General features: G+C 57.9%; 1 protein-coding gene across 1 annotated transcript in view, besides 8 other annotated features; it reads left to right on the plus strand.

Annotated features, from left to right (window-relative positions):
- Window positions 2,776-2,835: a silencer, noted in NCBI's record as "silent region_13752". NCBI's record gives its function as "represses an Ori minimal core promoter by ATAC-STARR-seq in GM12878 lymphoblastoid cells {active_cell/tissue: GM12878}" and the evidence as "EXISTENCE:reporter gene assay evidence [ECO:0000049][PMID:35858748]".
- The window catches only part of MGAT3 (beta-1,4-mannosyl-glycoprotein 4-beta-N-acetylglucosaminyltransferase), a 35,183-nt gene continuing 22,606 nt past the window's right edge, over window positions 2,850-15,426 (plus strand). The window contains exon 1 of the mRNA NM_002409.5: window positions 2,850-3,395. The gene's annotated coding sequence lies outside the window, so the exon portion shown is untranslated. The remainder of the gene's footprint in view (window positions 3,396-15,426) is intronic.
- Window positions 3,566-3,835: a silencer, noted in NCBI's record as "silent region_13753". NCBI's record gives its function as "represses an Ori minimal core promoter by ATAC-STARR-seq in GM12878 lymphoblastoid cells {active_cell/tissue: GM12878}" and the evidence as "EXISTENCE:reporter gene assay evidence [ECO:0000049][PMID:35858748]".
- Window positions 3,846-3,975: a silencer, noted in NCBI's record as "silent region_13754". NCBI's record gives its function as "represses an Ori minimal core promoter by ATAC-STARR-seq in GM12878 lymphoblastoid cells {active_cell/tissue: GM12878}" and the evidence as "EXISTENCE:reporter gene assay evidence [ECO:0000049][PMID:35858748]".
- Window positions 4,296-4,495: an enhancer, noted in NCBI's record as "active region_19051". NCBI's record gives its function as "activates an Ori minimal core promoter by ATAC-STARR-seq in GM12878 lymphoblastoid cells {active_cell/tissue: GM12878}" and the evidence as "EXISTENCE:reporter gene assay evidence [ECO:0000049][PMID:35858748]".
- Window positions 8,301-8,370: an enhancer, noted in NCBI's record as "active region_19052". NCBI's record gives its function as "activates an Ori minimal core promoter by ATAC-STARR-seq in GM12878 lymphoblastoid cells {active_cell/tissue: GM12878}" and the evidence as "EXISTENCE:reporter gene assay evidence [ECO:0000049][PMID:35858748]".
- Window positions 12,872-12,921: an enhancer, noted in NCBI's record as "active region_19053". NCBI's record gives its function as "activates an Ori minimal core promoter by ATAC-STARR-seq in GM12878 lymphoblastoid cells {active_cell/tissue: GM12878}" and the evidence as "EXISTENCE:reporter gene assay evidence [ECO:0000049][PMID:35858748]".
- Window positions 12,932-12,981: an enhancer, noted in NCBI's record as "active region_19054". NCBI's record gives its function as "activates an Ori minimal core promoter by ATAC-STARR-seq in GM12878 lymphoblastoid cells {active_cell/tissue: GM12878}" and the evidence as "EXISTENCE:reporter gene assay evidence [ECO:0000049][PMID:35858748]".
- Window positions 13,394-13,663: an enhancer, noted in NCBI's record as "active region_19055". NCBI's record gives its function as "activates an Ori minimal core promoter by ATAC-STARR-seq in GM12878 lymphoblastoid cells {active_cell/tissue: GM12878}" and the evidence as "EXISTENCE:reporter gene assay evidence [ECO:0000049][PMID:35858748]".

The raw sequence follows: 15,426 nt of genomic DNA on the forward strand, positions 1-15,426 counted from the left end.
CAATGCGATGTCAGGGCAGTGATTCGTCCCATTCTGCAGATGAAGATACTGAGGCTTAGGGATTGAAATGACTGGAACACTTGGCGAGCTGGCATAGAACCCAGGTCTTAAGCTCCCTGGGATTCAGCTTCTCCACCTGCTGAGCACCTCCGTGCCTACTGTGTGCCAGGCCTCTGTGAATGTGGGAGGGGAAAAGAGTGACAGGGGCCATGTGGGAGGAAGGAATTGGGGGATGTTTACCCTTCTGGCCAGCTCTCTGGGAGGGAGGCTTCTGGCACCACAGGGCCTGAGCTGGGAGGGTGGAGGGTGGGGCCTGGTGTGCCCAGCTGTGGCTGTGTGACCGAGCAAGTTACTTATCTCTGACAGGCTGGGCGTGGGGAAGATGTACTTGCCACACAGCGCCCAACACACTGAGTGCCGCATTGAGGACATGGAGGCGGACTTTGGTATGAACCCAACAAGGCTGACTCCACTTCGGCCTCCCAAGAAGCTTGGGAATCTGGAAAGGTCAGGAGAACAAAGACCCAAGCTGGGGGAAGATGGAGAGCAAGCAAGTCCCCTGACCCTGGCCAGCTCTGGGCAGGGCAGCTTCCCTGGGGAGTGGGGCGTGTCTTTACTTCTCACTGGGCCTCAAGGGCAGGGGCTGGGGCTTGGGCAGGTCCTCCTCCCCTTTGCCAGGAGCAATGGAAATGGAGGAATGTGATTATTTTGTGCCTGCCTTCGTGCTTGGGGGCCAATGTCAAGGTTTTCTTGATGCTCAGAACGAGTTCAATGGAGAATCCAGACTTGAAACAGCACTTCTTTCATGGGCTGAGGGACGCCCAGAGTTGCTGCTGAAGGCTCAGGGAGGGAGAGAAGGTTCTGGGGAAGGAAAGTGTCTGTGAGGCGGTCCCTTCCAGAGGGGAATGAGTCCCAGGCAGGGAGAGCTGTGGCATGGGGAATTGGGGGAGGGGGACACATTTGAGCAGAAATTGAAGGTTCTTTGGGGGCCGGAGAAGAAGGGGCAGAGAGGGTTGAACAGCCAGGCTGGGGAGAGGAGGAGGGCAACATTTTTGCAGGGCAGAATAGACTGGATTTTGGGGGAGTGACAATTACCTTAAGCACATGTCATGGAGATGATTTATTTTTTTTTTGAGATGGAGTCTTGCTCTGTTGCCCAGGCTGGAGTGTAGTGGCATGATCTCGGCTCACTGCAACCTCCGCCTCCTGGGTTCAAGCAATTCTCCTGCCTCAGCCTCCCGAGTAGCTGGGATTACAGGCGTGTGCCACCACACCCGGCTAATTTTTGTATTTTTAGTAGAGATGGGGTTTCATCATGTTGTCAGGCTGGTCTTGAACTCCTGACCTTCTGATCCACCTGCCTCAACCTCCCAAAGTGCTGGGATTACAGGCATGAGCCACCATGCCCGGCCCATGGAGATGTTATAATGGAATGTGCTTAGAGTGATAGGAACTAGGAATGGATCTTACACTTTCAAATGGTTGGGAAAACATCAAAAAATGTTTCTGGACACGTGAAAATGACACGAAATTCAAATTTTTGTGTCCATAAAGTTTTATTGGAACACCGCCAGGCTCATTCTTTTACGTATTGTCTATGGTTGATTTTATGCTACGATGGCAGAGTTGAGTAGTTGGGACAGAGACCATATGGCTGGCAAAGCCTAAAAGATTTACAATCAATCTCTTAAAGCAAATGGTTTGCCCACCCTTGCTTAGAGAGAGCCTCCAGGAAGAAAAGAGCAGTGAGGGTGACGTTGAAGAAGGGGGCAAGACTAGGTCACCAGGGGCTCCCTGTGCCCCGCCCAGGCACTGAACTTAAGCTGAGGGCAAGTGGGAGCCATTGAAGGTGCAGGCAGGAGAGTGACCTGCTCAAGTGAATGTTGGAGTAGGATCACTCTGCCTCCTCAGCAAGGATGGATGAAGCTGGGCACGGAGGCACCTGGAGCAGGTAGACCAGCCCTAGGCAGCCCGGATGGTTCAGCAAAGGCCTCTGGGACTATTCTGGAGCACATTCGCTGGGATATAGAATAGGTAGCGCATCCCTGCACCTTCGACGATGGCGGCGCAGAGATGTCTGCTGCGTACCCACAATGCCTTGTGCCTCGCACCGCGGGAGGAAGTGGCTGCTCTGTAGGCCCCAGAACGGAACCACTTGAAAGGCGGGAAACACGTGGGGGACGCCTCTGAGCCCTGAGAGGAATGGCCTAGAGCAAGGCCACGAGGAGCCAGGGCACGACACGGTGGGCCCTCGGAGAACCGCTGGTGGGCAAGTGGCAGGAGAGTAGGCTCAAGAGGGTTGGCAGGGCCGACCGGGCCTAGGGTGGCCGGGTGAGGGGGGCGGGGGAGGGGAGGCCCCCCCAGTTACCCCAGGAGTGCGCAGGTGGCTTCGGGCATGTGAGGGACGGAGGGGGTCGGACGGAAGGACACAGGCCGGTGTACAGCGGTCACCCACGCCCCAAGCAGACACACAGACTCTGCAGACACCGTAACAGGCCCGGCACCGTGCACACATCACAGGCCCAGGCCTCTGCACATGGTCACAGATGCCTATGCGAAATCCCGGCCCAGGTTCACGCGGGCACAGGCGCATCCACGCACACACCGCAACACGGATCTGCACGTCCATGCACACACAGGCACAGACTCGGGCACACGGAGTCACACCGACCCGGGCACGCTGCGGAACGCACCCGTCCACGCATACACAGAACGGGACTTGCTGCCCCGCACGCACACCAGGCCCGCACTCCGAACTACCCGCATTCCCCGCACACGCCCCCGCGCAGGCCGCCCCGGGCCGTGGGCCGGCGCACGCACGGTCACAGGAGGGGCGCGCGCACACTCGCACTCACACACACTCGCTCGCACACGCACACACTCGATCCAGCACGCGCGGGCGGCGCGGGGCGGCGGCGGCCGGAGTCTGCGGTGCGAGGCGCCCCCGGCCCGGCGCGGCGGCGGAGCCCGGCTGGCGGGGGAGGGGAGGGGGTTGCGGAGGGGGCGGGGTGGGGGCCGGAGCCGCTTGAGCCGGCGGGAGCGGGCACCCCTGCGCGCCGCGCTCGGCCTCGCCTCCGCGCCCCCCGCGCGCCCGCCGCGGTCCCTCCCCCGCGCCCGTCCGCTCGCCGGGCCCCCGCCGCCGCCCCGGGGTGCAGCCGAGCGGCCGCGCCGGGTCCCCGGGACGGGGTGGAAGTGGGGGTGGGGGGAGGGGATCGGGGCCGGGCCGGGGCCGCGCTGCCTGCGATGCCGGGCGCCCGCCGCAGCCGCTGCCGCCGGAGCCCGGGATGGGGCGAGAGGCTGCGGCGGACGCCAGCATCTCCCCGCCGGGGACCCCGGGGGCCGCGGAGCCGCCGCCGCCGCTGCTGCCGCCGTTGCTGAGACCCAGCGGGCGATGGGTGAGTTGACCCCGGCGTCCTGGGGGGCGCCGCGGCCCCTCTATCCCCGCGCTGCCCGCCCTCCCGCGCTGCGCTTGGCGCCCCCCGCCCGGCTCCGCGGCCCACTCCCCGAGCGTGACCTTAGGGGGCGGGCGCGGGCGCACTGGGGCTGGGGGCCCGGAGGCCGCGGTGGGGGCGGGATGCCGGGGAAGCCGCTCGGCGCGGGCCCCCTCCCCCTACCCGCCGCTCCTCCGAGCTCCCCGGTCCCCGGAGGGCAGAGCCTCAGCGCCCGACCCCCTCCCACGGCCGGGCGGGGGACGTCCCCGAGGCGCGGGGCTCGAGCCGTGCTTTGTGCGCGGCACCCCCCAGCCTCCGGCGCGGCTCCCCCACAACCTCCGGCGCGGCGCGGGGCTGGGGTGGGAGGCCTCCGCGCCCGCCTTCCCCACCCCCGACCCCAGACTGCGGCGGCGGCAGCCGAGGCCCAAGCGCAGTCGGGGGCTGGGCGGGTGCGGGGGCTGCGGCCGTAGCTACCCCTGGGGACCAGGCAGAGGCAAATGTGGAGAGGGCCCCCGGCCATTTACCGGGGTGGGGGCCCCCGGCTCCTTGCATTGCTCTGCCCAGGGCGGGGGAGGGAACCTGGCTGAGGGAGGGCGCTATAAATATCTGCAAATAGTGAGTTCTGGAACCGGGAGTGGGGAGGGGAGTGCGCCTGGGTGTGTGTATGGTGGGGTTCCTGAGCTGGGGTGCAGCAGGAAGGGATGCCGCGCGGCCAGACCTAGTGGTCTGAGGTCGGATGACCCCCAGCCCCGGAAGATGCCCCTGAAGGCCCCTGATGGGGTGTGGGCAGACACACTACCCCAGTGGGATTCCTCCCTGGTTCCCCACTTCATTCCTGGGACACACCAGTCCAGATTCGCCTTGATGGGGGAGTTGTGAGCACTGGCGTGTCGTTTGGGGAGGGGGAGCAGTTATGAAAGATCCAGACATGGAGCCCAGCAGAAGGATGGAGGGGAGAGCCCCCACCCCCAGGAGCTGCAGCTCTGAGGGGGTTTTCAGTCTAAGGAGTGCTAAGGGGAGCCGCTCTGGGTCCTAGGAAGGTTTGAAAGAGGGGTCCCAGCCCAGGAGGAAGAGAGAGGTTACTGGAAGAGATGACGACAGGAAGCTGCCAGAGATCTCTGGGTAGAGAAAGGTGGGAAGGGCGTTGTGGGCCAAGGGAATGGCATGAGCAAAGGCTCAGAGGTGTGAGTGTCTGGCGTGTGTTGAGAGGTGGCAGTGGGAACAGTCAGGCACTGTGGGTGCCCCCTGGAAGAAGTGAGATGAAAACGGGGCAGAGGCTGGGCAGGGAGGCCAGGTGGAGGTGAGGTGGGAGGGCACAGCAGGGAGCTGGCACTTGGTCCTGAGGACGGCAGGGAGCCAAGACCTGGCTGGGGGGATGCCGCTGGCTCAGACCCATTCTAAGGGTCTGCCTGGTGCCCTTGGTGTGGTCAGGGCTACTTGAGGCACACTGGTGATTCCTTTTTCTTTTCTTTTCTTTTCTTTTTTTTTTTTTTTTTTTGAGATGGAGCCTCACTCTGTCGCCCAGGCTGGAGTGCAGTGGTGCCATCCTGGCTCACTGCAACCTCTACCTCCTGGGTTCAAGCAATTGTCCCACCTCGGCCTCCCGAGTAGCTGGGACCACAGGTGCCCGACACCACACCCGGCTAATTTTTGTATTTTTAGTAGAGATGGGGTTTCACCAGGTTGGCCAGGCTGGTCTCGAACTCCTGACCTCAAGTGATCCACCCACCTTGGCCTCCTAAAGTGCTGGGATTACAGGCGTGAGCCACCTCGCCCAACCCTGATGATTTCTTTTTCTGTAGTAACTGGACCACCTCAGGAAGTCAGCTTTCTGAGCCTCGGTTTCCACATCTGTGAAATGGGGAGGTTTTGTTTTTGTTTTTGTTTTGAGACAGGGTCTCACTCTGTGATCCAAGCTGGAGTGCAGTGGTGTGATCATAGGTCACAGCAGCCCCAACCTCCTGGGCTCAAGGGATCCTTCTGCCCCAACCTCCTGGGTAGCTAGGACTACAGGCGTGAGCCAACACACCCTGCTAATTTTTTAAAAAGTTTTTAATAGAGATGAGGTTTTGCTATGTTGGCCAGGCTGGTCTTGAACTCCTGGGCTCAAGTGATCCTCCTGCCTCTATGTCCCAAAGTGCTCGGATTCCAGGTGTGATCAAATGGGGGAGAATTTTGAATGGAATGAGTTGCAGAGAGGGTTGAATGAGAGGATGCACACAGGGTGCCTGGCACCTGAGCAGCACTCAAGAGATCGCTGGCTGCGGTATTATTACCTGGAAAACGAGGATGCCGATGCCAGCTGGCGGGCCAGGCCAGCTTCACTGGGCAGCGGCCATGAGAATCACGAGAGGGCTGGGCTGGACGTGAACGGCAGAGAGCTGAGGGTGGGGGAACTGCGTGGTCCTCATGCAATTCTGGGAAGACTACATAAGCAGTGAGGAGTGGCCAGAGGCAGGGTGGTCTGCAAAGACAGCCCCTCTTGGCCTCATGGGCACCCACCCGCCCAGCCAAGTCATTCAGGGTATCCTGCTGTGCTCCCCAAGAGCCAGAGCCCCTTTGCTCCCCAGAGTGCAGTGATGCAGCCCCTCATCTTAGCCATCTCCAAGCCCTTCATGTGGGGACCAGGTCTTGGAACACAGTGTCCTCAGGTAGGGGTAATAATTTACTGTGCTGGACAGAGAGGACATAGGCCTTGCCCTGAGGAGATTAGAATCCATTGGGGAGCAGATACCCCTGGCACCGATGCTCCACCTAGCCCTGTGCTGGCTGCTTGGGGGCAAGGAAAGAGTCACTAAAAGTAGGGATTCCAGATCTAGTGGCCCGGTTCAAATCCCGGCCCTGCCTCTCTCACTGTGTGACTGTGGGCTGGTGACTCTGCATCTCTGTGCCTCAGTTTTCTTGTGTCTAAAATGGCGCTGAGGCGAGGCGTGGTGGCCCATGCCTGTAATCCCAACAGTTTGGGAGGCCGAGGTGGGTGGATCACCTGAGGTCAGGAGTTCAAGACCAGCCTGGCCAACATGGTGAAACCCCATCTGTACTAAAAATACAAAAATTAGCTGGGCATGGTGGCAGGCACCTATAATTCCAGCTACTTGGGAGGCTGAGGCGAGAGAATCGCTTGAACCTGGAGGCAGAGGCTACAGTGAGTTGAGATTGCGCCACTGCACTCCAGCCTGGGCAACAGAGTGAGACTCCATCTCAAAAATAAATAGATAAATAAATAAAATGGGGGTGGGGTGCACTGTTACTATTTGAACAGCTTGGCATAGTTTCCAGTGGCCATTTACTGCTCCCTTCCAGAACGAGTCTCCCGATTCACCCCTGCCTCCTTGGAGACTACACCACCTGCCCTTCGAGATGTGTTGTTTACGTGTCCCTGATGTCTTCCTTTTCTGACTGAGTCCCCCTGCCCAGGGACCTGCCTTTCCAGATCCATTGCTCCAACCGGGGGCAATAGTAGGCTGGCAACTGGCTCTCTGGGAAACAAACCCCTGATGAGTTGGCCGATCGCTGTGCTGTAAATCCTCCCCATATGGCTGATTTTAAGCCACCCATGGCCTAACAAGAGTGTCATAATGGGAGCTGGTACGTGCCAGCTTTAGTCCCCAGGCATTCAGCGGGTGCTTAATAGATGATGGTTGAATGAGGAGGAAAGGATGCAGAGAGTGTTGGTCAGCTAGATTTGGGAGCTGCGGGCGATACTGTAGGTGAGAAGGGCTTTCAGGGGGAGGCATGGGAGGGCTGGAGGTGAGGGGCCACCCTGCACCAGCCCTGGGGTGAGGCTTGAGGGAACGGAGAGCTTCTGGTGTCCTCCCCGTCCTGAGACCCTTTGCACCCCTGACCCTGACGCACACTTGCACTAACCCCTCCTTCGAGGGGCTCCTCTCCACCTTGGCCTGGCCTTGGGGTTCTGCACAGAATGGGCCCCAAGCTTAAGCCAATGAGAGCTCAGAGATGTGGCCCAAGCAGGTCCCAAACCTCATGTTCCATTCCCTTGCTGTGCTGTTCCCTCGACTTGAATTCCTCTTCCATTCACTGTCCCCTGTAACTCTGTTGTCCATCAAAAGCTTCCTCATGACCCCCTTCCTCTGTGACACCAGCCCCACAACCCAAGTCAGACAGACCCATCTCCCCTTCTGCTCTTCCCCCGATGCTACAGCCCCTCCCATGTACACGTTCCTGCCTATAAAAATATCAATAGCCAGCATGTGTTGTGTTCCTATGGCAGCCAGTGACAGAGGTTCCAGGATAGTCCCCTCTACAGATGGGGAAATTGAGGTGCAGTCTCTTGTTCACACTGACCCACTCTTTTTTTTTTTTCTTTTGAGAAGAGTCTCACTCTGTCACCAGGCTGGAGTGCAGTGGCATGATCTCGGCTCACTGCAACCTCTGACTCCCTGGTTCAAGTGATTCTCCTCCCTCAGCCTCCCGAGCAGCTGGGAGTATAGGCACGTGCCACCATGCCCAGCTAATTTTTGTATTTTTAGTAGAGATGGGGTTTCACCATGTGGGCCAGATGTTCTCAAGCTCCTGACCTTGTGATCCGCCTGCCTCGGCCTCCCAAAGTGCTGGGATTACAGGCCTGAGCCACCACACCCAGCCTGCACTGACCCACTCTTTACATCTTAGCTGCAGCATCTCTGGCTCAGGGAAGCCCACATGCTTCCTGGTGTTCTTGCTGTCAGCTCCCAGAGTATCACGCCGGTGTCTTTGGCGTGTTTGTTACGTGTTCCTGATATACTTTCAGCGACACAGGTACTGAGGAGGCCCTCAGTTAAATGTGCAGATGGATGGATGAATGGATGAATGAATGAAAGAATGAATGAATGAGTGAATGAATAATTCTCAGCCCAGGTGAGCAGCCTTGCTGTCCTGCTTATTACTCCTTCTCCATCCCTGATGGAAGGGACTGACCCTCCAGAGGGCAGCCTCACACTACAGAGGGAGGGTACAGGGACCTGCTTGGGAGGGGCTATTGTCCCCACCGCCAGGAAGGGGACAGTGAGGCTTCGGGAAGGGGCGGAGCTGCCCATGGGCTGGAAGCAGGCCAGGAACCCCCTCTCACAGCAGGGAGCTGACAAGGGGACCCACGGCCTTGCCCATAAGTCAGGAAGTTAACCGACTTGTCACGTACTTCTCCTTGGGCTGCCTGAAGTGGAATTCCCCCTTTTGGCTCACTTATTTTCATCTTTTCTATAAAAATAAAATTGAAACAATGGAAATCATTCACACACCTAATTACCGTATTGTTTATGAACTTATTTGGCTCAAAACTTTGGTTCTTACCGAAGTGGGAATCCCTTGAGAGGGGTGGGTGAGGGCCAGGCCAGGGAGACAGACCTGTGCACGTGCCAGGACCTCAGAGCCTGCTCTCCGGCTGCCCTCTCTGGGCAGGCCAGGAACTTCCCAGAAGGAACAGCCCAGAGACAGGGTTCTAAGTGAGGGAGGCCGGCCCGAGTGGGTTCTGGGACTCTGGCTGGCAGGCCTGGTGGTGGATGGCTCCCATGGTTGTCCTCCCCACCTTGGCCTCCGGGTCATCATAATTTGCTGCTCTTTATCAAGCACTTCCTATGTGCTGGGCCCAGGGCCAACCAACCACTTTCTATGCATTCTCCCAGAGATGTCTCTAACTTGCTGAGAGGCAAGCACTATTATCATCCCTGTTTGGCACTTTGAGGGTACCCAGAGTTGGGGGTCCACAGCTGGGAAGTGGCAGGGCTGGGATTGTGTCCAGCCTATAGGACCCTCAGAGAGCAGCCTCCCTCGGTCACCCAGACCTGTTCCTTCTCTCCCGTGGGCTCCCAGCAGGGCCTGTTCCCTGAGGCTTGGAGCCCTGAGACAGCCATCACTTAGCCTCTTGGCCTCCAGGCTTCCCCTTCAAGGCCCTCCTTCTGCCACTGTCCTGGGCCCTGTCTCTGGAACGCCTGCTCAATGTCACCTGGGCGGCCTGCGTAAAGTACCTGTTTGCCAGACCCTAGCCAGCCCTGCTGAGTGAGCATCTCACAACGGGAGGGCTGGAAGCCCACAGTTTAAAAAATACTGACTTGGACTCCCAAAGTAATCCTAGTACTTTGGGAGGCTGAGGCAGGAGGATTCATTGAGTCCAGGAGTCCGAGACCAGCCTGGGCAACATAGTGGGACCCTGTCTCTACAAAAAATTAAAAAAAAAATTAGGCAGGTATGGTGGCAAACGCCTATAGCCTCATCTACTTGGAAGGTTGAGGGGGAAGATCACTTGAGCCCAGGAGGTCAAGGCTGCAGTGAGCTGAGATCGCACCACCACTCTCCAGCCTGAGCGACAGAGCAAGACCATATCTCAAAAATTAAAAAAAAATAAAAAATGCTGCCCTGAGGATACAGAGGCCTGTGCATTCCAAGAGCCAGTTCACAGCTCCCTGGCATCTGTAGTGGCTACTAGATTTCCCAATCCCCAACCCTTGTAACCCAGATCCTGTGACCGAGCCCCCGCCTGTGTTCGTAGCCTGGGCCCCACCAGCTCTTCATACACCGCGCTCACCCCTGCCCCACCGCCCCCGCCATGCTGTCATCCTAGCACTTGCTGCCTCTGCCTCTTCCTGGAAGCAAGTCCCAGGCAGGGCATGATGCCCAGAGCTTGCCTAATGCACTGGGCAAATCTCTCGTGGTGAGTCCTCATCTTGCTACCTGGGGCCTGGCACATGGTTGTGGCAAATTGTGGTGGGTGAGTGATGGTGGCTGCCACAGGAGAGGGGCACAGGGAGAGCTGCAGGTGACTGGGGATGGGTTGGGCCCCCGGGCTGGCACCGGGCATGCACTAGGGCCTGGCTCTGTGCCTGGCACGTAGAAGGCATTTGATGCATATTTCTTGTCTTTTTTTTTTTTGAGACGGAGTTTCACTGTGTCACCCAGGCTGGAGTGCAGTGGCGCGATCTCAGCTCACTGCAACCTCTGCCTCCTGGGTTCAAACGATTCTCCTGCCTCAGCCTTCCCAGGTAGCTGGGATTATAGACGCCCACCACCACACCCAGCTAATTTTTGTATTTTTAGTAGAGACGGGGTTTCATCATGTTGGCCAGGCTGGTCTCCAACTCCTGACCTCAAGTGATCCACCTGCCTCCGCCTCCCAAAGTGCTGAGATTACAGGTGTGAGCCTCTGAGCCTGGCCTGATACATATTTATTTTTTTTTCTTTTTGAGACAGAGTCTTGCTCTGTTGCCCAGGCTGGAGTGCAGTGGCATGATCTCGGCTCACTGTAAGCTCTGCCTCCCAGGTTCACGCCATTCTCCTACCTCAGCCTCCCAAGTAGCTGGGACTACAGGCGCCTGCCACCACACCTGGCTAATTTTTTTTTTCGTATTTTTAGTAGAGACGGGGTTTCACCATGTTAGCCAGCATGGTCTCGATCTCCTGACCTCGTGATCTGCCTGCCTCGGCCTCCCAAAGTGCTGGGATTACAGCCATGAGCCACCACGCCCGGCCTCTGTCAGGCTTTATCTTTCTCCACTCCAGGACCAGAGCTCAGTCCTGAGCCCGGAGCACTTTGCTCTCCCCAGCTCCTGCTCATCTACGCTGGCCTCTGACCTGGTTCCTGCTGAGAAATGCTCTGAACTGGGGGCAGGGGAAGAGGGAGGGGTGCAGTCCCACACGGGCCTGGTGTCTCCTCCTTCACACCACACAGGGGATCCTCAGCTCTCTGAGGCACTCTGGGTAAGTTTCCCAGGGCCCCAGACGTTAAGGTTCCCTCTGCAAAAATGGGTGGGTTCAGCTGGCCACGTGGCCTCTCTGGGCTGATACCCTGGGCTCAGCTACACCCCTTGGAAGGTTTTCCCTTGGGATATGGGCACAAGTGAAAAACAGAGCCATACCCTCCAACTCACTGTGGGCATTCAGTGAAACCATGTGTGTAAGACGCTTTGTTAATTGTAGAACGCTGCACAAACTCATCAGGTCCCTCACCCGTCAGGCAGGCTCTACTGCAGACACTAGACACGATCGAACCACTTCCCCTGCTTAGCACTCAATTTCCATATAGTGAAATGAGGTTTATTTTGGCACCGTGGCCCATGGTTCCTGAGATATGAAAATGAAATCATGCAAAAAAACTCCAGCACTTTGGGAGGCCGAGGGGGGTGGATCACCAGAGGTCAGGTGTTCAAGACCAGCCTGGTTAACATGGTGAAGCCCCGTCTCTACTAAAAATACAAAAATTAGCCGGGCATGGTGGCGGGTGCCTGTAATCTCAGCTACTCGGGAGGCTGAGGCAGGAGAGTCACTTGAACCTGGGCGGCAGAAGTTGCAGTGAGCTGAGATTGTGCCACTGCACTCCAACCTGGGTGACAGAGTGAGACTCCGTCTTAAAAAAAAAAAAAAAAAGAAAAGAAAAAAGCCTGATAGAGCAAAATGCGCACTGCCCGAAGGTGACAGAAACCCATGTTGATGTTGGTTCCAGCAAAAGGTGCATGGGGAAGAGAAAGGCCTGCGAGGAAGGCCCAGTCAGAAGCCAGCCAGGCCCAGGGGTGGCAGGATGGTGGGGACACTGCCCTGCTTCTTTCTCTGTGCTTTCCTGATGTTCTAGAATGGATGAGAAACCTTTAAACCAGAAAAATGCAGTTGTATTCTAACAGCGGGAAGAAAAGGAGCCCCGGAGACAGCCGGCTCCTGCTTGGTCTGATTCTGGGGCCACCGCTTGCGGGCAGTGACCGGCTGTGGGGTCTCACCGTGGGGCTTGCCTAGCACCAGGCACTTCTACCAGAGCAAGTGGATCTGCGGCAGGAGGCCTGTGTTGCTCTAATTCCTGGAAATTGGGTCATGGGAGCCCAGGCCTGGAGCTCCTGGAATGCAGTGCTCTGAGAATTTTGTCCAAACACCTCTGACCTCCTTCCTCCGGGGCTGGTCCAGCCTCTTTCTTCCCCCGCGTCCCCCATGCTCCAGCCTCTTGGGCAATTGTCATACTCCGTATGTGAGCCTCACCTTCCTACTTCCCGGCCTTTGCTGATACTGGTCCCCTGCCCTCCTGAAGAGCCTGCCCCTTCCAGCCCAGCTGCTGCCAGAGCCCCCTCTCCTTAGGAAGCCCCTCCTGCCCCTCCCAGACAGAGGTGCCCGCAGGGCAGGAGCCAGGGCTGCTTGTTTCACCTCCATGCTGAAGCCCAGCGGGCGTGGTCATCCCTGTTGGCTGATGTTGTTACTGACCCCGGCCTCTAAGTGCTTTTCCCACTATCCTCCTACACACGGGTCAAGTTCTGCCTAGTGGTAGCGTTATTTGTCATTGCATCTGAGCCTTGATCCTGGGTGGGGTCAGTTTCTGTTTCTCTCCCAGCTTCTGACTCTGTACCCAGTACACTTTGTGCCCGGTACAGAGCACTCATCTGTCCATCCGTTCTTTCAGCAATTACTCCCTAAGTGCCTATTGTGCGCCGGTGACTGAGCTAGGTGGCAGGGGCACAGCTCTGCTGACATCAGGGTGGGCGGCTTGCAGTTTGCTTGCATGTGTTTTGTGCATGCTACATGTGTATGCACACAGCATGAACATCTCCATCACATATAAACTAGCGTCTCTTAGGCTGCGCAGTCCTCTAGGCACCTTGTGCATTCCTGGTTAATTCAGCGAGTGTTGACAGAGTGCCCACCAAGCAGGTGCCAGGCCCTGACATGAAGTCTTTGCCCTTGTGAAGCACCTGTCTTGTGGAGCCATTGCAGTGAGAGCTGGTGCAGAGGGTGAAGGGCAGGGGGTTGGGGCAGCATCCTGGAGAGATGGGAAAGGGGTGGGGAAGGGAATTTCTGCCTGGCTGGGGTGTGCTTTGGGATCCCCTCTGCGGCCCTGGGGGCATCCCAGGCCTAGGAAAGCTGGACTGGGCCTTCTCGCTTTGGGAGTGCAGGCAGCCCCATCTCTTTGGTTCCGCTGCTCTCAAGAGCCCCAAAGAGTGATGAGGCTAAGAAGGTAGGAGTGGGCAGGAGCCCTGCTGCTGGGCACCGCGAAGAGAATACGAAGTACAGTGTCCCAAAGAGGAGACACATGGACACGACACGGGACCTGTGATGGAGAGCTAGCTTGCTTGCTTCCTTCTTTTTTCTTTTCTTTTCTTTTCGTTTCGTTTCGTTTTGTTTCATTTCGTTTCTTTTCTTTCAGACAGAGTCTGGATCTGTTTCGTTTTGTTTCGTTTCGTTTCGTTTCTTTCAGATGGAGTCTGGATCTGTCGCCCAGGCTAGAGTGCAATGGCAATCTCGGCTCAGTCTCAAAAAAAAAAAAAAAAAAAAGAGGTAGAACCTTCAGATGCAGACAGAGAACCTAGAATCTGAAACTTAGAGGAGGAAACCTGGAGCAGCAAAGCTAGAATGTGGGTCTTCCAGAACATGGAGCTCGGAGGCCGCCACCCTCACCTTGATGAGCAGCAGTGGGCACATTGGCAGCTCTGCTGAGCTGGGCTGGGATGAGGACCCCCTCATAGCCTCCTAGGTTCCTGACCCTGGGCACATCCCCTCTCCAAGCAGAGGTGGACAGAGAGTAATTGGGAGAGGAAAAGAGACAGGGTGCCTTGTTCCAGCTGAGGGCGGGCTCCCTGGGTGCCCAGAGCCCCAGCCAGCTGTGTGCTTGCTCTGTCAGGACCACCCCCAGCAGGAAGCTAACTGATGCTCAGGTTCCCAGATCCCAGGGGCAACGCTGCCACCCTCCTGCCCAGGAGCTGCAGGCTGCAGGCAGGTGTGGCCTTGTCACCTCCCCAGGTCCCCACGGTGGCAGAGCCACATTCAAGCCCATTCCCTCACTCAGCAGCGCACCTGCAGCACCAGGGCATGAGGCAGTGAACACACAGCCGTGAGCTGTGGTTCAGACGCTGGCAGGGAGGATCCTAACTACTGAGCCGCTCTTCCTTTCCCACCGTCTTCCCATAGCTCCTCCTGGCCATGAAGGCTCCAGTCATTTCCTGTATCTCCCCTCTGCCACCGCTATCCCATTGGAAGGGGCCCTTAGGATTCACGTAGCTAAGCTGCCTCATTGGGGTGTGACAAGCCCAAGTTGGCAAAGCAGGCAGGACTAGGACCATGGGCCACTTGTGTGAGCCCCAGACAGGCCTGAGAGCCCTGCAGCATTGACTGGAAGGTGCGGGTGTGTGGATTTGGCGTGGTCATTTATTCATTCAACAAACTCAGGGTGAGCACCTTTTTTGTGTGGGGCTCAGTGCTTGAGGCTGGGGACCCAGGGGCATCAGACAGCACAGCCCTTGTGTGGGACAAGGGGTTCTGGGGAGTAGGCTGGGGTCAGGGAGGCCTGGAGAAGTGCAGCTCAGCCGAATCCTCCAGGAACAGGCACGGAGATTGAAGGGTGAGATTACACAGAAACTTCTGTGCCTCCTTGAGGGACTTGGACTTTCTCCTGAGGGCAGCGGTTCCAAGCTGGGAGGGGCAGCATCAGATGTGGCTTTCGCTTGGCTCATGGGGGCCGGGTTGGGGGCCCATTGAGGAAGCTGCTGCCATTCCGGTGAGCGGTAGGCTTGGGGTTGGGAGATTTGGGAAGTGCGGGCAGTGGGACTGACTGCCTTGGTGGTGTGGGGAGGGGCCCAGAAGGGGGCAGGTGGGTGGGGAGGGGCCCAGATTTGGGAAGTGCGGGCAGTGGGACGGACAAGCCTTGGTGATGGGTGGGGAGGGGCCCAGAAGGGGGAGTGTTGGGAACGTCATCGGAGCGTCAGTCCCTTGGTGCCAGGCTTGAGTCACAGGTTACTAGCTCAGGTTGTTGGGACAGCGATTTGAGTTTCACCTCGTTTGCCACAGAGGGTCTCAGGCCAGAAAGCCAGGCCTGGTGTGACCCAAAGCCCATGCCCACTGCCCTCCTTGCTGCCCAGCCCAGATCATTCCTGCCAGGTCTGCACCTCGCTGTCCCTCACTCCGTCTGGCACTGGGCCACCTGAGCATGCAAGTGTGCCCACCACCTGCTGCCCTGTACACATGGGTAGGTGCCGGGGGAACAGCATCCGCTCCCCACTGCCTAGGACTCTTGGACCAGACCTCCACCTGCCACCTG

The sequence above is a fragment of the Homo sapiens genome, chromosome 22 (assembly GCF_000001405.40).
Source record: "Homo sapiens chromosome 22, GRCh38.p14 Primary Assembly".
Classification (NCBI taxonomy): domain Eukaryota; kingdom Metazoa; phylum Chordata; class Mammalia; order Primates; family Hominidae; genus Homo; species Homo sapiens.